The sequence below is a fragment of the Homo sapiens genome, chromosome 1 (genome assembly GCF_000001405.40).
Source record: "Homo sapiens chromosome 1, GRCh38.p14 Primary Assembly".
Lineage (NCBI taxonomy): Eukaryota > Metazoa > Chordata > Mammalia > Primates > Hominidae > Homo > Homo sapiens.
In genome coordinates, this window is record NC_000001.11 from 33,350,244 (window position 1) to 33,368,791 (window position 18,548).

The 18,548-nt window shown below is 48.4% G+C and overlaps 1 protein-coding gene and 1 long non-coding RNA gene across 10 annotated transcripts in view, besides 4 other annotated features; one reads left to right on the forward strand and one right to left on the reverse strand.

Moving 5' to 3' along the window:
* Window positions 1–18,548, reverse strand: part of PHC2 (polyhomeotic homolog 2) — a 107,470-nt gene that overhangs the window by 26,618 nt on the left and 62,304 nt on the right. For 3 of the 9 annotated variants that reach the window (NM_001385109.1, NM_001385119.1, NM_001385120.1), the window contains 4 exons: window positions 18,293–18,379; window positions 16,873–17,185; window positions 4,595–5,010; window positions 4,158–4,323 (listed from right to left, as the gene is read on the reverse strand). In NM_001385109.1, coding sequence (NP_001372038.1) covers window positions 4,158–4,323; window positions 4,595–5,010; window positions 16,873–17,185; window positions 18,293–18,379 — 982 coding nt within the window. Of the gene's footprint in view, window positions 1–4,157; window positions 4,324–4,594; window positions 5,011–16,872; window positions 17,186–18,292; window positions 18,446–18,548 lie in introns of all 9 variants that reach the window. The other 6 variants (NM_001330488.2, NM_001385122.1, NM_001385121.1 and 3 more) reach the window with 5 other exon arrangements.
* PHC2-AS1 (PHC2 antisense RNA 1) lies at window positions 109–13,002 on the forward strand. The gene is made up of 3 exons (NR_125978.1): window positions 109–204; window positions 8,618–8,831; window positions 12,823–13,002. It is a non-coding gene; the product is annotated as a PHC2 antisense RNA 1 (long non-coding RNA).
* Window positions 6,002–6,522: an enhancer, noted in NCBI's record as "NANOG hESC enhancer chr1:33821846-33822366 (GRCh37/hg19 assembly coordinates)". NCBI's record gives its function as "activates a minimal SCP1, AML or CMV promoter by ChIP-STARR-seq in naive H9 embryonic stem cells {active_cell/tissue: H9 hESC(naive)}" and the evidence as "EXISTENCE:reporter gene assay evidence [ECO:0000049][PMID:30033119]".
* Window positions 12,945–15,103: an enhancer, noted in NCBI's record as "VISTA enhancer hs1388". NCBI's record gives its function as "enhancer in: neural tube[7/12] | midbrain (mesencephalon)[7/12] | forebrain[8/12] | other[7/12]" and the evidence as "EXISTENCE:transgenic organism evidence [ECO:0001131][PMID:17130149]".
* Window positions 13,905–14,199: a silencer, noted in NCBI's record as "tiled region #7215; K562 Repressive non-DNase unmatched - State 23:Low". NCBI's record gives its function as "represses a minimal TATA promoter and a strong SV40 promoter by Sharpr-MPRA in K562 cells {active_cell/tissue: K562}" and the evidence as "EXISTENCE:reporter gene assay evidence [ECO:0000049][PMID:27701403]".
* Window positions 16,492–17,395: an enhancer, noted in NCBI's record as "H3K4me1 hESC enhancer chr1:33832336-33833239 (GRCh37/hg19 assembly coordinates)". NCBI's record gives its function as "activates a minimal SCP1, AML or CMV promoter by ChIP-STARR-seq in naive H9 embryonic stem cells {active_cell/tissue: H9 hESC(naive)}" and the evidence as "EXISTENCE:reporter gene assay evidence [ECO:0000049][PMID:30033119]".

Here is an 18,548-nt window from a genome sequence, read left to right on the forward strand (position 1 = left end):
AACCCTGCTCGCGCTGTCCCCGACTTATTGTTCACAACGACCCTACAAGTCATTCTCCTTCCCACTGGGAACCGAGGATCAGAGGGAAGTCATGGCCCGAGTGCCCCGGTCACACCTCCGTGAGCGGCCTCGGGCTCGCGGTTGAGGCTGATTGAGGAAGTGGGTTCAGGCGGCCCGCCGTGCCTGGCACACGGTCAGAGTCCCGTAAGTGTTGGTTATCTTCCCCAAGCGCACCGGGTGAACCTGCGCTGTCGTGGCGAAGCATACTCATTCAGCACGCGCGCGAGGGGCTGCGGGGGTACAGAGACGTGCAGCGTGACACAGTCCCCACCCTCAGGAGCGCGAGGCGCAGGAAGGTGCTGGACACACGCCAGGCACTTCTCTCCATTCTTGACTTCCCTCTGTTCCCAACATGGTCCCATTTTCTTGCCTTCCTTAGTATTCATATTCGTTGCCTGCCTTTCTTCTCCCCCCACCCCTTTCCACTCTCAGGCCTCATCCCATCTTCTTTGTTTACATTTATTTTACATTCCCCGAATATTTACTTAGCTCCCTTTCTCCTCTATTTTTCAAATTTTCAACCCCCCTTTTCATTAATATTCATATTTCCTTCTCCTCTGCCTCTGCATTTCTTACACTTATATTTTGTTTTATAAACTAGGGTAACACAGGATTGTATCCTCAACTCCTGTTCCCTAACATGCCCACACTTTCCTGCCTCCCTCTCTTAAGTTCCACCAGTTCTTCCTGGAATGCTCTTTCCTCAACTTTGCATGTCCAGGTCCTACCTATCCTTCAAGGTCCAGACTCAAGAACAGCAGTTGGCAAACTTTTTCTGCCAGGGACCAGAGAGTAAATATTTTAGACTTTGTAGGTCACACGGTCTGTGGCAACAACTCATCTCTGCTGTTGCCGCAGGAAAGCAACCACAGACAATATGTACGTGAAGGAGTGTGGTTGTGTTCCAATAGAACTTTATTTATGGGCACTAGAATTGGAATTTCAGATAATTTTCATGTATCATGAAATAGAATTCTTTTGATTTTTTCAAAAAAAAATTTAAAATGTAGAAATCATTATTAGCTTGCGAGCTGTACGAACACTGGCAATGTGATGGTTTTGGCCATTGGGCTGTAGTTTGTCAACCTCTGCTCTAGAACAATGCCTCGTCCTCCCTGAAATCTATCCTGAACATCTCTAGTTGGCAGTAACTTTTCCTGTTTTGTAGCTTTTAAATGACTTACCTCAAATCCATCTATGGCATTTATCGCATTTTACTTTCTATTGTAATTTTTTTCCTGTGCATTTTTCATCGTTTCAAGTAGACCTTCAGCTCTTGAGGTGGGGTACAGACCGTGTTTCTCAGTGTGCTACCTCCCTTCCCACAGTGCTTTGCACAGAGCAGGCATTCACACATACACAGAATGGGCCGGGCGCAGTGGCTCACACCTGTAATCCCAGCACTTGGGAGGCCGAGGCGGGCAGATCACCTGAGGTCAGGAGTTTGAGACCAGCCTGGCTAACATGGCGAAACCCTGTCTCTACTAAAAGTACAAAAATTAGCTGGGCATGGTGGTGTGCACCTGTAATCCCAGCTACTCGGGAGGCTGAGGCAGGAGAGTCACTTGAACCCGGGAGGTGTAGATTGCAGTGAGCTGAGATCACACCACTGCACTCCAGCCTGGGCGACAGAGTAAGAATGCATCTCAAAAAAAAAAAAAAAAAAAAAGACATACACAGAATGGATATTTAAGTCTTGGGTGGTTGACAGTTGTTTCCACTGTGTAAAGCTTACTTCTCTCATGAGATAGGACCTCAAGAGGAGGATGCTTGTTTGTATATCACCATGATTAGATTTCAGAAAGAAAATTTTGAGAGCTTTATGGAGGAGAAAGGCAAATGTCAGTTCATTTAGGGGTTTCTGGATTACAAACACTTGAGCAAAAAATGTTGATTACCACTGTTGCGGAGACAGGGCATGAGTACTCAGTGGGGTCCCATATGGTACTTCTATTAGCAAATTGGTAAAAGGCAAATAAAACATGCTATATAATTTACAGGTGGCAAAGTTAAGCAGAGGTGTTAGTATAATGAATAGCAGAATTCAGATAGAAAAGATTCCTGCCCCACCACTTGTTTTTTTCTATGCCTCAGTGGTCTTACCTTTAAAATGAGGATGATAAAAGTTGCTACCTCAGAGGGTTATTGTCAGGATTAAATGAGGAAATATGTGTAGTCTAGCAGAGAGGGCTCAGTAAATATTAACTATTAATCATTACTGTTTTCTTGCTAGGCTGGAACTATGGGCTGAATTTACAAGGTAACACTTAACAGATGTAAGCAATTATATTTTGGTTCAAACTATAAATTATACAAGTTTGAGACTAGGGAGAGCTGGCATGACAGCAGTTCCAGGTAAGACGAAACCTCAGAAACAAAAATGAAACCCAGCTCTCTGGAATTCAGGTGACAGTGCTCTGTGAACAACAGTGTCATTCCTATAGGGTGGGAGAGTTCACGGGGGCCATTCGTGCACCATCCTGATGAAGGAAGGTGAGCGAGTGACTACCGTAGGAGTCAGAGTCATGGCGCTGCCCTTTCAGAGCCGCGGGACCTGGAGCCCCTCAGCCTTTGTTTCTGCCTCTGAATAATGGGGCGATTCTACTTATGTCCTAGGGCTGTCGTGAGTGAGTAAAGGACTTGGAACAGTACTCAGCATATACTAAGTGTTCAACAAATTTTGGTTCCTCCCTACCGTAAAACATGGATCTAGGGAACAGCCCTGCCCCTGAAACAGGCCTCTAAAGACTAGTAGCTGTTTATATTTGGAATTAATGTGCTCAATTTTGGGGACCAAACGTTAGGAAAATTAATGAAAAGGTAGAATGTAGATAGACAAGCCTGACCAGAATGGTGAGAATGGAGGTCTTGATCTGTCATAGGTAAAAAATGAAAAAAAGTCTCAGATGTTTAGCCTGGAGATTTTCTCTTTTTTAATGGGGGGAGAGGCAAGAGACAGTCCGACAACTGTCTACAAACACTGTATAAGATGGACTCTTATAATTCACAAGACAGAATCATGACCAATGCTGGCAAATTCCAAGAGAGCAGGTTTTGACTTCATTTGAAAAGCAACTTTCTGATAATTAGAGCAAATCTACAGTGGAATGGACTGCTGTTCAAAACCCCTTCTCATCTGCAAGTGTGCAAAGAGAGAAGAGATGACCTCCTTCCCATCCTTTAATTTTCCTGCTGTCCTTTCTCCATATTCTCTTCCTTGATCCTGCTTCTGTTCCCTATAGAACCTTCGTACTCTTTTTGCCCTGCCTTGTGCTAAGGTATTTTTTTCTTATTTCTCCATCAATTTCTAAACTCTTTTTCTCTTTCCTGTTCCCCGCCCCTACCCCCTCAGCAAACACAGCACAATGACTGGAACTGCCTCCCTGAGTTGCAGGTGGTCCATGGCTCAGAATGTCACTGAGATCTGGGCCAACAGTGCTGTGCAAACTGGCAGAGAGGGGAAGGGAAGCAAATAGATCTTTGCAGAAGGCGGAGGTACTGCTGTGCCTCTCCCATCCGGGTGAAGGGACCCAGCAGAGTCTCCTGAACCCCAGGCAGGGAGAAGTCCACTTGTAACTGAGCCCGCACAGATGGACAGATGGGGATCCCAGAGCTGAGCAGTTTTCCTCAGAGATGCTTCCTGTGAGCTGAACTCATCTGAGTCCCCTTCTGCCTCCCCCTGGCATTTCCCTTATTTTTGAGATGTGGTAGCCGTTTTGCCATATTTCCAATATCAAGAACCCCCTTTCATACCAAAGGAAGCAGAGAACTGTGACAACTGGCCACCTGCCTCCACTCTCCACTTGGCATATGTCTATGTGGATGCATCTGACACCAGTGACATGCAGGTAGGCCCCAGTGTCTGGCTCTAGAACTTTCACCTCTTCTGTCTCCACCCTCTTGCTCTAATATCTTCCGTGTCTCAATTACTTTATCCCTGGTTCATCTTCTCACATCCCTCCTCTGTTTCCAACCCCCCAGCTTCCTTGCTTGTAATAGTTTACCCTCCCATTCCAGATGCCCAAGTGAAATGTGCCAGGGCATGGCAAGAAAGGCCAACTTCCTCCCCTCCCCCAGGGCCCCACTGTGCTTCATACCGTGAGCTGGGGACGGCTGGATGTTAGGGCTCGTGGGTACAGGCAGGCCACCAGGCATGGCAGTGACAATAGCCTGCTGATGTGGTGATGGGCCAGACCGCGTCTCAGGCACACTTTTCTCCCCTGGTGCCACTTCTTTCCAGTCATCAGGGACACACTGCTGGGGCTGTCAAAGGACAGGACAGAGAGGGGGGCCTCTCAGAAATAGCCTTTGCATTCTTGGATACTTCCCTGGTTTCCATGGAGCTTGGGAAGCAGGTAAGGACCTTAAGATTCAGTCATCCTCAAATTGGGGAAGGCCCTCTCTTCCTTCTTGGAATCCCCAAAGATGACTTCACCCGTCAGCCTACCCAGAAGCACCTCTTGACGGGGCTGTGGGGTCGTCCGAGCTGTGGCCACCCCGTGTGCTCCCTGGACCTTGGGGCTGGCTTACTCACCACTGGTGAAGCAGGCTGCAGTTGTAAGATGACAGCTGAAGTGTGCTGGAACCTGCGTTGAGGGGTGTGGGGCACGCCCTCGGGATGTCCATTCTGAGGCCCAGTATCAGGTGTGGGAGGGTGACACTGCTGACTGCCGCCAGGCTTGTGCAGGTTGGCAGTGGGACACTGGAGTGGCAGGGCGGGTGTAACCGGGCCTAGTGGCATGGCATGGGCCTCTGAGCTGGGCTGGAGGGCCACGCTTGGAGAGACTGAGGCGAGCTGGGGGTGGGGCTCAGCTTGGAGCACAGGCCGTGACTGCTGGGGCGGCGGCTGCTGCTGTTGTGGCTGTGGCTGCTGCTGGATCACAAATTGGGGCTGCAGGTGCTTTGAGGATGGCTGTGGGAGGAGCTGGTGTGGCTGCAGCTGAGCATAGGCTGAAAGGGGAAAGGCCAGGTTAGAGAGCATGGCTTGACCTTCTCTTCTGCTGTGTCTTCCAACTCTGCCCCTCCCGCATCCAAATAAAAATGGCTTCCCAAATTCAATGTCTCTTGTTTTCATCTCTTTCATTTTTCACCCTGAGCCTGGCCTGCTCATTGCCATGGCCTAACACATTCACTCTATTCCTGCTTTCCTCCTTTGCTGGAGGAACACTGGGCTCTTTGAGCTGTCCCCCATCCCCAAAGCTCAACTCCTCAAAACTAAAAACTCACCTCCTCTGTGATGCCCTTTGGCCATTCTGGCAGTTCAGAGAAATACTGGATTCTAAGTGTGACATGCTCTCGCTCTCCTCCATGCCCTTCACCTGCTGTTCTCTGTGCCTGCAACAGCTACAACCTTTCCACCACCCAACCCAGCTCTGTGTGGCTAGTCCTCATCCAGCCTCTGGCTCTGCTCAGGCGAGGCCTTCTCCAGGAAGAGCCAGTAGACAACGGTGGTTCTTGGATCCTGGCATCAGACAGACCAGGGCTGGATTACTGGTTCCCTCTGTTATATACCAAGGGACCTGGAAATAACTACTCTCTGGGCCTCAGCTTCCCAATCTAAAAATTGAAAATATAGTTTCTGTACAGAAGTTGCTAAAAGGATGAAATGAGAAGAAAATGACAGAAAAATGACTTAATGTGCACAGCACAGTGCCTGGCACATGGTCATATTCAGTCATTTCTAGTTATAACTACTATATCAGTCTGGTTTAGGTTCTTAAAGTATCCAGGGTCTACCTCTATCATAATAATGCTTATTAAGGTGAGTTGTAATTGTTTCTTATCTGTCTTCCAGATCATGAACTCCTTGCGGTCAGAAACTTTGTGTATCTCTTTTTCCAGAACCTACCACAGTGCCTGACAGGAATTTGTTTTTTGGCATGTGTTGCTATGCTAGCTTTTCTCTCTTCTATTTTAAGCAGGCTGACTCTTTGAGGTGAAAATTCTTATATATATATATATATATATATATATGTATATATATATATATATTTATTTATTTAGTATTTATTGATCATTCTTGGGTGTTTCTCGGAGAGGGGGATTTGGCAGGGTCATAGGACAATAGTGGAGGGAAGGTCAGCAGATAAACATGTGAACAAGGGTCTCTGGTTTTCCTAGGCAGAGGACCCTGCGGCCTTCCGCAGTGTTTGTGTCCCTGGGTACTTGAGATTAGGGAGCGGTGATGACTCTTAACGAGCATGCTGCCTTCAAGCATCTGTTTAACAAAGCACATCTTGCACCGCCCTTAATCCATTTAACCCTGAGTGGACACAGCACATGTTTCAGAGAGCACGGGGTTGGGGGTAAGGTTATAGATTAACAGCATCCCAAGGCAGAAGAACCTTTCTTAGTACAGAACAAAATGGAGTCTCCCATGTCTACTTCTTTCTACACAGACACAGTAACAATCTGATTTTTCTTTCTTTTCCCCACATTTCCCCCTTTCCTATTCGACAAAATCGCCATCGTCATCATGGCCCGTTCTCAATGAGCTGTTGGGTACACCTCCCAGACGGGGTGGCGGCCGGGCAGAGAGGCTCCTCACTTCCCAGACAGGGCGGCCAGGCAGAGGCGCCCCCCCACCTCCCAGACGGGGCGGCGGCCGGGCGGGGGCTGCCCCCCACCTCCCTCCCGGACGGGGCGAAAATTCTTATATTTTTTAGTATCCCTTCAGTGTCTAGCTCATGCCTTGTTTGGAGTAGGGATTCAGGAAATTCAGCTCAGAGATTGTCTTTGCACAGATCACTCTCTGGCTAGTGCCAGGCCAGCCTAGGATGAAGCAGCTCAGCTGAATCTGTCCTGTTTAAAAACTGCCCTCCACAGAGACTTCCACGGCTGGAGAGCTAGCCAAGTGCATGGCAGGCCACAGCTGGAGGCCCGCAAATGGATTTTTACAACTAAAGCCTCATGCCAGTAAGGATAAAGGTGAATTCTGGGTCCTGAGCTCACGTTTTAAATGGATCCTGTGATGCAACAGGTGCAAAGTAAGCAGGTTTCAAACTGAGTTAGGGGAGGTGCCTTCCTTCTTGAATTTTGTCTGTTCACATGCAAGTTTTGAATGGTCTCATCCCAGCCCAACGTGAAATTCCAAGCAGAATTCCAATAGGAATGGAAAGGACAGAAATAAGATGTGTTACAAAGGAAAAGCAAAATGGTCCTTGGTGACTGACTGTCGTAGTCAGAGAGAGAGGGACTATGGATGGCCCAGAGGGGTTTAGTATGGATGATACTGAATGACAGGTTTGGGAAACTTGGACACCAGTGTGATGTTGAGGGAAGTGTGTTGGGTTTGGGTTGATGGCGGAACCTTTGTGGAAATGCCAGCAGACATTTGGTGATTATAAACTGACCCCAATCTAAGCTGTGTCTCCTTATCTCACATTGAATAGGTCGGAATTTAACAATCAGGCACTTTTGAGAAGACTGTTGATAAGGCACCTGGGAGACACTGAAGAGGCCACACAGGACTTTGTTAGGCCCCCACAGCCAAAATGATCTGCAAATGTTGGGCATGTCACTGCAAATGCAACCAAAACTTTTTCTCCTGTAATGCAAAATCATGGATTCCTGCTCCTGGGATGTGGAATCATTCTTAGGGGCTGCCTATGTGAGGTGGGAGCTGGAGATGGTTCCAGGTCAGGGAGGCTAAGAGGATCAATGGCATGCCCCACTACTTGCTGGCTGTGCGGCCTGAGACAAGGTACTCTTCTTTCTCAGGGCTTCAGAGTTTAATCTGTGAAAGAGGAGGTCTGGGCTAGGTGATCACATAAATCTCTTCCACATCTAGAATTTGATGGAGTGGCTATAGCAGAAAAGTAGTTTACAATTCAGGGTTAATAAGGAGGAAAAAGGATTACAGAGGGAAAAGGTTCTAAATCTCTACAGCATAAAGAGTATAGGTAGGGACAACACACATTTGTTTTCCCAAAAGACTGGGAAAGGGGACTGCTTGCCTGGCTTCTATTCCTGTGCTTCCTCTCCTATCCCATTCCCTCCCCACCCTGTGCTGCTCATGGAAAACTGAAAGCAATTGTTTTAGGACAAACGAGGCTACTATACACCAAGGCTGGAAATCAAGCTCATAAGGCTTGAATCAATTTATAGATCAGAGACCCAAAGGTATTTGGGGTATATATTAATACATCCTTAACTTTTTGAGGTTAATAAAAACAAAGATCATGATTTAACTCCAGCATTATCCTGGATCAAAAAAAAATCCTTTTGTTTCGAGTACTGCAGTAGAGGAAGGGTCTTCCTGATTCCAGTTTCTTCTCTCTGTAATCCAGCTTAGAGAGAGCAAACTAATCTTCCTAGTGCACAGATCTGATCTCTCACTAAAAACCGCCAGGGACTCTCCTTTGTCTACGGTTGTCTAAAGCCCCTGGCAGACATTCAGGATCTCTTTACAACATAAACCAACCTTTTAATTTTTATTATTTCTTTGACCCAAGCAATCTTTACTGTTCACTGTACCCTGTACAGAGTATATGCCTTTTCTCATACTGTCTAGAGTGCTACAAATCAAATTCTAGTCACCATTCTCTGGTCTTTACAGCTGACAGGACTTTCCCCTTTCTCTGAGATGACAATCAGGCCGCTTTGCTTTGCACTGCCCTCAGAGAAGCAGTGTGCCCAGAAGTCAAGTGTGAGCTCTTGAGTCAAAATGCTTGGATTTGAATTCCAACTCTGCTGCTTACCAGCTGTGTGACATGGGGTGAGTGAGTTACCTGACCTCTCTGTACCTCTATGTCATCATCTTTAAAATGGAGGTAAGGATGACACCTATCTCAGAGTTATTTCAGTAAGTGACTTATCTCTTTTAGTAGGCAGAATTTATGTGAGACATTTGTTTCCTCCAAAATATCTTGAATTTAGTAGATGCTCAATCAATATTGCTGAATGAATGAATGAATGACAGACAACATGGTGGGACTTGTTTATCCTACAAGACTTGTTCTCAAGGCTTCAAATATGCAGGAAACGACTCACTGTCCCAGAAATGCTGGGACTCTTGCCGCAAAGTATATGGGAGCTGCAAGCATACCAGTTATAGTTACAGGACTACTTATGCACTCATTTTCCTAGAAGTCCACTATAGTTGACTAGAGTTTGATGTTACCTGGCCTACCAGCAAGGAGAATGTGCCTGTGGGAGAGGAATGGCAGATCTTTTTACTAGCCACTACCCTTAAGGGAAGATACACTTTCAACCATTCACTCACTCAACAAACAATTTATTAAGCACCCACCACACACCAAGTACTATGGTTGGTACTGGCTAAGACATGGTCCCTAGAAGAGATTACAGTTTAGTAAAAGAGATGGAAGACAGATACTCTCACCATAATTTGGTAAATATTATGATAGGTGATAAGCACAGAATATTGAGAACACGGAAAAGGGGATTCAGCTTTGGAAGGAGAGCAGAGAAGGTTTCCCAGAGCAAGTAAGTGTTTAACATGATTCAGAGTTAGGAAGATGACAAAAGGAACAGCATTCGGGAAGACTCAGAGGCATAAAATACTATGGTGAATTCAGGGATCTCCAGGGCATCATGTATAGTTGAAAGCCAAGGTGTCTAAGAGAGAGGAGTCAGAAAGGAGGCAGTTTTTGGCTGGGTCTAAGTTACGCTAGCACCTTCTAGGGGCTGCTTATCCCTAAAGATGTCTCATGTGATTAGGCTTCATGAGGTAACTAAGGTTAGAGTTAGCTCTAGAGGTCAGTGCTCTGCATACACAAGAATAGACAAGGAAGCTCCTTTTAGAAAACCCTAAAGCAATAGCCACACAAATTTTCCATGATGCATTCCCTTGGCATGGGGTCAGGAGGAGTTTGAGAGGGGAAGTAGAGCTAAGGGAAGTTTACCTGTAAGAAACTTGCAAAACGGTGTTGGGTTGCCAGCTGCAGGGGCACTCTATGATAGTCTGATTATGCTTGAAGGTTCTTAGGCCTGTTCTGCAGCCCTCTGGAAAAACTACCAAATACTTGCTGTGTACAGGATACTTTGCTAAGCAGCTTGGAGCATTATAAAAGAAAATGTTATCTGCATCTCTGCCCCTACCCTGCCCTTGGCAGAGGATGGCAGGATAGCATAAGTGGATAAACGCATGGGTTTTAGAGTCAGTCAGATCTGGGTTTAAATCTTGGCTCTGACACTGATAGGCTGTGCAATCTTAGATAAATTGCTCAACCTCTCTGTATCTTGACTTGCTGTTCTGTAAATGGTGACACATACCACATAGTTGTTAGTATCAAATGGACTATTTTGTTTAAACCACAAAGAGATTCACTGCCTTTGCTCAACACTTGGTACCTAGTAGATGCTCAGTAAATGGTAGCTATTCTTAAAATACTACCTGTTATCTGTGTGTTGCTTTGAACTTCTCAAAGAATTTTTATCATTTAAATCTAATTTATTTCTAACAAGAAGCCCATGAGGCAATTGAGAAGTGTTTTTATTTTACAAGCAAGAGCTGAGAGTAGTTTCCAAGTGACTTGTACAATGCAGTAAGTGAAGGGGAACTTGACTTCATTTGACAGGTGAGGCATGGTGCCTTGCATATTACAAGACGCTGATGGCCAAGTGAATAACACAAGTCAGTAAGGACAAAAAAGGTCAAAAATGCTGATGGCCAAGTGAATAACAGAAGTCAGTAAGGACGAGCGAGTACCGCAAGCCTAGGAGTATTAGTTGCAGGCAGTTGAGAATACTGGAGGCAATCTTGGAGGTATGGACAACAAAAAGGGATTGTTAACGCCAGGAGGCAGGGAGGAAAAGGGCATATGACAGGCCAAGAAAGTCACAAAGGGGTAGGAGTGGGAGAGAAGAGACAACAGCATATTTGCTTGGCCATAACAGAGCGTCTGCATGAGGACACCACGAGCAGTCAGGTGCAGTGGGCAGTGGGGGGAGGGTCTTTAAGGTCCCCCATGAAGTCAGATAGTCAGAAGTCATTAACATGATATTGAGTGAGCCCTTACTATAGACTAGGCATTCCAGCTGATCAAGGAGGACATAAAGACACAGTGAAGGTTTTTGTTTTTTGTTTTTTTGAGATGGAGTTTCGCTCTTGACGCCCAGGCTGTAGTGCAATGGCATGATCTCTGCTCACTGCAACCTCCGCCTCCTCGGTTCAAGCAATTCTCCTGCCTCAGCCTCCCAAGTAGCTAGGATTACAGGCATGAGCCACCACACCTGGCTAATTTTTGTAGTTTTAGTAGAGATGGGGTTTCACCATGTTGGCCAGGCTGGTGTCAAACTCCTGACCTCAAGTGATCCGCCTGTCTCGGGGCCTCCCAAAGGGCTGAGATTACAGGCGTGAGCCATCGTGCCTGGCCACAGTGAAGGTTTTTAAACAAGAAGGAAATAACAGTCTCTGAGGGAGATAATTCTAGCAGTTGTGAGTAGGATATCCTGGCGATCAGTTCAGCCTCATCCCGTCAGCAGGCCTTAAGCAAAGCAGGAAGCCAAAACAAGAGGAAGTCTCATCAGAACCTGGTGACAAACTGGTGATAAGCTGGGTGGTGATGGAGCGTGGGAATGAGGGAGGGCTTTCTCTGTGCCGGTCACTTGCACAGGCCATCTCAGTCATTTACAGCCCATAGGAAATATAATCACCTCTGTTTTACGGATGAGGAAATGGAGGTTTACAGAGCTTAAGTAACTTGATCATAGTCATTAAACTAATAGGTGATGAAACTGGGGTCTGAAACCAGGTTAACTCCGAAGCCCACTGCTTTTCCCACTGTAACGCTCTGCCTCCCTGGTAGCTCTGACACCAACAGGTGGTGCAATCTTAGATAAATTGCTTAACCTCTCTGGATTTAGACTTGCTGTTCTGTAAATGGTGATACATAGCACATACTTGTTAGTATCAAATGGAGTATTTTGTTTAAACCACAAAGAGGTTCACTGCCTTTGCTCAATGCCTATTAGATGCTCAGTAAATGGTAACTATTTTAAAAATACTACCTGTTATCTGAATGTGAAGTCAAAATAACTCTGTGAGTCTGGGGTGCAGGAGGACCTCGCAATTGTGGACAGTGCTCAGGAAACTGGTAGAGGGGGCCTTTCCAGAGAGGAAGATGCATGGTTTTTGTTTTACAAATTCTCCAGATTAAAAAAAACTTGTATGCAGTGGGGTGATGTCTATTTATAGACAGCTGAAATGTATGGGGAGAAGAGAGGAGGACAGGGATGGATGTGTATTAGGAAGTCACTGGCAGACAGGTGGTGGATGTCTGAAAGGTATGAACTGACAAACTCCTCTGTAAGTGAAACACAGGGGCACAGGACTGAGTTTTAGGAGACCCACAGCTAATGGCAGAGGCAAGGGAAAAGGAAGGAGGGTCCCGCTTACACACACAGATGGTCACACGCGCACACAGCCCCTCTGGGCTTAGGTGCTTCCCAGTGCCAGCTGAGATACTCCTCCTCCTGTTCCATTCTTGAAACTTAATCATGTTTCAAAGCACAACTCAAATGTCTGCAGCTCCCATTAGAATTTAAACTCTTGTTCATCTCTTTAACACCCATAGTGTTCAGCATAATGTTTGGCACATAAGAGGTGCTAAATGAGTATCTGTTGAGCTACATAATTAAAGGGACAAATGGTTTGGGGATGACAGTGACTCTGAGCCATACCTCTTTCATTTGTGAAGTGGAATAATCACTGTTAAGATTAAGTGAGATATGTAGGTAAAGCATTTAGTGCAGTATGTGGAACATGGCTGTTCATTAACTGGTAATTATTACTATTAGCCCACAGCAACCAGGGAAATAGTCTAACAGAAGCCTAGGATGAAGAATTTCGGGAAAGAAGAAACGTCCAGCAAGGCCAAGTCCCTTTGTGTGTCAGTCTGCTTTCTCTCTCACACATACGTGCACACAGGCTCGTACACACAAAGATGTTAAGCAAAATATAAAGCCCCTCCACTGATAGCTGATGATTGTGGATTTTTCTCCTAACATAAAAAGAGATTCTTAGTCATCTAGATTTGGTGCTACAGTGGATAGCTGAAATGACCTTCATCAAAATCGTTGGGGATTTTAGCAGATGACAGTCCCACCTGTATGCTTTGGTTTTTATTGGATTCCCTAAGTAAAAGTGTGCTTGCAGTTTGGAGGCTGCTTTGGGAGGGAAATAGGGTACCCAAGAATCCTGGAATCAGCAACACTGCATTGTCCAGCCTATCACAGACAGAAATCACTGCCCCCTGCACAAAACGCTCTCTGTGTTCAAACAAAGCAGCTGTGTGGCCTTCCAGCAGAGTTCTCGCTCCTCAGCTGAGACCTGAGGCGGGCTGAGGATGCAGAACAAAGACCTGGCATCTGGAGGCCCAACTGGGTGAAAGGGCCCTGGCTTTTCAACAACCCGACAGTTCCCTTTTATCACAGCATATCCCTCCCAGTCAGCAACTTTCTCCTCACCTTTGGGCCTGAGTGTGCACCCAAAGCCTGGAGTTTATCCACTAGAATGAGGACTCCAAGAACCAAGTCTCCTATCTGGGGCTGTGGCCCACTCCCTTAGGACTCGGCTTCCCTGAAGGCCAGGCCCAAGGGACCCCTGCTGCCTGCCTCTCTTCTGCCCTCCATTGCTCAGTCCTCATGTCAGTGAGAAGGGCAAGCCAGGCCCTTCTCCTTCCCCTCCAAAGCCCAACCTCTTAGGCTCTGTTCTCCGCCCCTTACTCCCCTCCCCCACCTGCTCCCCCACCCCTATTCTCGGCATAAGGGACCTTTTCTATTTGCAGAGCCTGAAGAAGCCGGTTGCCAAGGTGACAGGAGCAGGAACAGCAGGGAGCTTGCCATGGGGGAGGGGCTTTGCCCCCAAACAGCTGTCAGTGGGAGCAGTCCCAGCTGGGACTGGAGGGTCTGCCTGCTCTGGGAGGAAACAGCCCCCAGGAGAACACATTCCTCACTGCCATACCCCCTCCTACTGGCCCACTGCAAGTCTCCACTGGTTACTTTCCCTGGGGGCAGCCAGCCAGCCAGCTCAAAAAATGCTCCAATAACAAACAAAAAATGTGTGCGCGCTCGCTTGCTTTCTCTCTCCCAGACACACACACACACACACACACACTTGCTTTCACACACACACACACACACACACACACACACACACGCTCAAGCACGCTCTTCTCTCCTGCTCTCAGATCCCTTGGTTCATTGACAGTGGGTTGGCTGGGCAGGAGGCCAGAAGTCACCTCTGCCCAGGGAACTGTATAGCCCAAGACAGGTGCTGCTCCTGGCTGCCGTGCACTAGGTCCTAAGAATGATTTCAGTCTTTTTGTCCAGAGGCCCTGAGAGGACCTTCCCCTACTAAAACTCCCCAGCTGCCTTCCATATGGGAGGTGGGAGTGGGGCAGCGCCATCTCTGGGCTTACAGAGAGGAAGGGGTGGGAGAGAGGAAGAATGAACAGGATGGTGGGAGGCAGGAACAATGCAGGCCCACTGCTTTGTGTCTCTGGGGAGAGGTTCTTTGTGGAGCTGCAGCTCACAGCTGCTCCATAGAAAGTTCTGTGGAGCCACTGGTCTCTGTACTGCATTCTAGCCAGGCACTGTTAGCCTTAGGCCCTCGGGCCTCAAGCCTGTCACCTGCTGGTGTTTACCTTTACATGGGGTCTCCACCAGACTCTGCAAACCCTCAATAGGCTTAGACCCCCCAGATACTTTCAGCTTTGGGTCAGAAACAGGAAAGGCTGAGGAGGCCCCAGATTACTGTAAGAACTGAGAGGGACGATCTGGCTTGAGATGAAGAACAGTGTTTGACTCAGCCAGCTATGGCCCCCAGTCCTGCCACTTACTACTTAGGTGACTTTGAGTGCGTGACGGATGTGGTAAGCTCCTGGAGAACCTCTCTGAGCTTCAGTTTGCTCATCTGTAAAATGGATAAAGACAGCTACCGGACAGGGATCTTTCCAGGGTTTAAAGAAGCGTGATGCATACAATGCAGGGCACGTTATCTAGCACACGACGGACGTCCTGTGAGTGCTGGTCCCGTTTCTGTCCAGTTTTCTTGAGAACTGAGTTGCCTAGCAGCCTTAGGAGGAACCCAAGAACTAGTCTTTCTTTTGAACAGTGTTAGAACTTGGGGGGCTGGCTTAGATTTAGAGAGAGGTTACATTTCGGCCTGGGCTGGAAGGGGGTTCTCAGGAAGGCCTGAGACGCAGATGGTCCGCCAGGGCATGCGGATTGAATGAGAAACTAGAAGAAGTGCTCATCTGGGGTCTCAGCTGTAGTCCAAGCTGCTTTCAACGCATTGAAAGAGCCCCCAGTCTACCCTTCTGAGCCTCACTTTCTTTTTCCATAAAAGGAAGAGGCTGGGCCACTTTCTGGAGAAAGCCATGCCAGACAGTGAGAAACATCTGAAGCCACAGGGCCGTGAGGCCTCCGTGGGGAGGTGCCTTTCTTGGCTCAGCGGTGACCACTGGAATGCAGCGACTGACCCTTTGCCCCTGGGTGACTTCTGAAGCCTCAAGAAGGTGAATGAGGGATTTTGACCCCGTTTCCTCCTAACTCAGTGCCATGTGCGCTGCTTTGCTTTTCTCTGCCTGGGAACCTTCCCCACTCTGTCTGTCAGGTCACATGCTCGTGCCGCAAGGCTCATGTGCCATGTCCTCTGAAGGACGGCATCTCTGACCCATTCTGCCTGACAGGCAGCTGACCATCTGTGCCCACACTGTACCTGGTACTTAGTCCTAAAATAGAATTTATGAAGTGGAATGGATTTGCTTCTATATCTGGTTCCCTTCTTTTGACTGCACACTCTAGGGAAAAATAAAAATCCTATCTTATTTTGACAAAGATGTATTGAGATATATTCTTGATGTATTTTCTCAAGAAAAAACCCCACAGATTAGATTGGATGGTAAAATGGTTTGAGAGAGGACTGAGGTTAGTGGTTGTCTCAGGGATGCGATCAGCGTGACCCTCTCTTTAATGCAAAGCCATGTGCTTCGCCACTCTATTTATTTCTATGGTAAAACAGGGTGGTCTTGTTACCTAGATCGATAGGCCTGGCTTCTTGGGCTCTTGGCAGATTTTCCCATTAAAGATTGCCTACAATGGGCAGCACAGGGAGAGTTTTAGTAGGCAGGGAAAGGGGTCTAGCAGGGCATGTGGATTCATCGGACCTGCCTCACAAGCAAGCTCCTAGATTTATTCTCAAGTGTTACCCTCACTAGCAAGCCTTTCCTAGCTCCTCTCCTCAAGCCACATAGCTCTTCTGTTCTGACAGTGTTCAGAGCTTAGATCTATTATGGCATATGCACTGCACTCTCTGTCTCCCCAGCTACACTGTGGAGGGCAGGACCTGAGTCTCATTTATCTCTGCACACCTAGAATTGGCAACATGATTGGCAAATACTAATCAACAAATGCTTGCTGAATGATGAGAAAAATAAACTTCCTACATTCCCATCTCTCTGTCTGGTTCTTACATGCTTCTGGCTAGCCCCTGGCCTTTTTGCTGAGTCTTGGAGAATTTCAAAATAGTTCAACTGCCTGCCTCCAGCCACTCCAGGTTGTGCCCACAGCTCCACCGCTGTGGCTGCGTACCCTGATTCATCGCTGTGCCTACAGTGCAGAAGGACTCCTTTATTCCAACTAACATGGCTGCCCTGCGTAAAGTTAGACCAGAAGCATGGCACAGAGCCAGGAGCTGATGGACATTTTGAGATAGGGAGGGAGGAGAGAGAGATCCATGGCTGGTATCTTTGCAAATCCATGGGAAAAAGGAAAGTGTGAAAGTCTCCTCCTGACTCACGGCCCTGAGTTTTCTGGGAAAGGATTCCTGCTTCCTGAAGACCTTACCTGGTGCAATGAGGGGGTGGGCAGCCACAGCAGGAACCGTCCGGCTGAGCCCAGCCCGGCCTTCCATGCTCCCTGGCACACTGCTGTTGCCATCTCCTTTCTTGTGTGGCTCCATCACACTGTCAGCTATGCCAGGCTTGGCACCTGCAGGGGAAGCCTGAGCAGTATTTCTGCTCTGTGCTGGGGTAGGCAGAGGCTGGCTACCGCCCGGCGTGGGTTTCAGGGCCAAGCTGGGCAGGACAGGCTGAGTGGGGGTGGGGCCCGAGGCTGCTGCCGCTGGTGTCTGCTGTGTTCGGAGGGTCAAGTTCTGTACCTGGAAAAGAGGGGTCTGTGGGAGTCCAGAGAATGTGGCAGGAGCAATGCCAGTATACAACTAAGAGGGAGAGAGGGATGGATCCAGGAATGGCTGAATAGAACAGGAGGTTGTCAAATCAGAGAGAGAGAATGTGTTAGGGGCTAGAAGAGGAACCAGAAGCACGTGGAGTTGCTAAAGAGGGCCAGAGGGTTCGCTGTGACTGCATCCAGCAGCAGAAGAGGCTGAGTTCTGAGAAGGACCTGCTGCCCAGCTGGGCGGGCAGGGGTGGGGAGGCCAGGCTCTGTCCCTTCTGTTGCCCTCCCTCCTCCCCAACACTTTCAGGATTGGATGCACACCACCCAGAAATAATTCCCAGTGAGGGGGAGCATGGGGCTTCCCACACTGGAAAAGGCCAGGGCAAAAGTGGAAGTTAACTGACCAGGAAGGCCACCGGGCAAATATCTTGTCTCAGAATAAGGTTGCCACCGGCTCTTCCAAGACGGCCGGCATGCTTACTCAGCCCGGTCCCTGGCGCCCTCTGCTGGACACAGGGAGGCTGTGCCAGACTCTGAAAATCCGGCTACCAGCCCTGTCCCATCACCCTCCCCATTCCGTAGATGAGGATGGGGAGATGCGAGTGCTAGGGGTTCCTTCCCCGGCTGCCCACAGAATCTTCCCAGCCACGGTAGTATCTGTGCGCTCCTAGCAGAGCAGGACACGTCTCTGCTCCCTCTTACATGTCATTTTTCTCGAGTCCTAGCAGCACTACCGTGTGTAACCGGAGCGGGACTTTCCACTTATGAAGCAGCAGCAGCCAGACCAGCTATGCTGGGGCAGGTGTAAAGTATGGAGGGTAGCACAGCCCACCCCTCCCTGGCAAATCATGCTGGCCTCAGCAGGCTGCCCTCTGGCTCCTGACCTGTGTTTGAGGGAACGAAACAGAGCCAGGAGGGACTGAGGCCTTCTGGAACAGGGTAGACGCGCAGGCCTGGGGGCATTGGGGTGTCCTGTCTCCCGCCTGCTTTCCTAGCTGATCCCGGCCTCTCCTTGTGCCCCTCCCCAGTATCAGTGCCCCTCTACAGGGGTGCCCACCCCCCTGCCCTCCCACAAGCATGGAGTCCTCACCTGGGCGGGGGTGGGGGGCCGGGCGGGGGAGCCAGTGCCGAGCTCAGGCTGCACAGTAGCGACGGTGGCCGTGGGCGTGAAGATGAGCTGAGGGGACAAAGGAACAGTGCCGCCTAGGCTCCTAGCTACCTGCACCAGGTTACCTGGCTGGGCCTGGAATCACAGGAAACGAGGCGCCTTTTACCTGCTCGATGTGGACTCAGCCACAGGACACAACTGTTTAGCCCAGGAGCGGCTATGAGGAAGGGCAGGACAG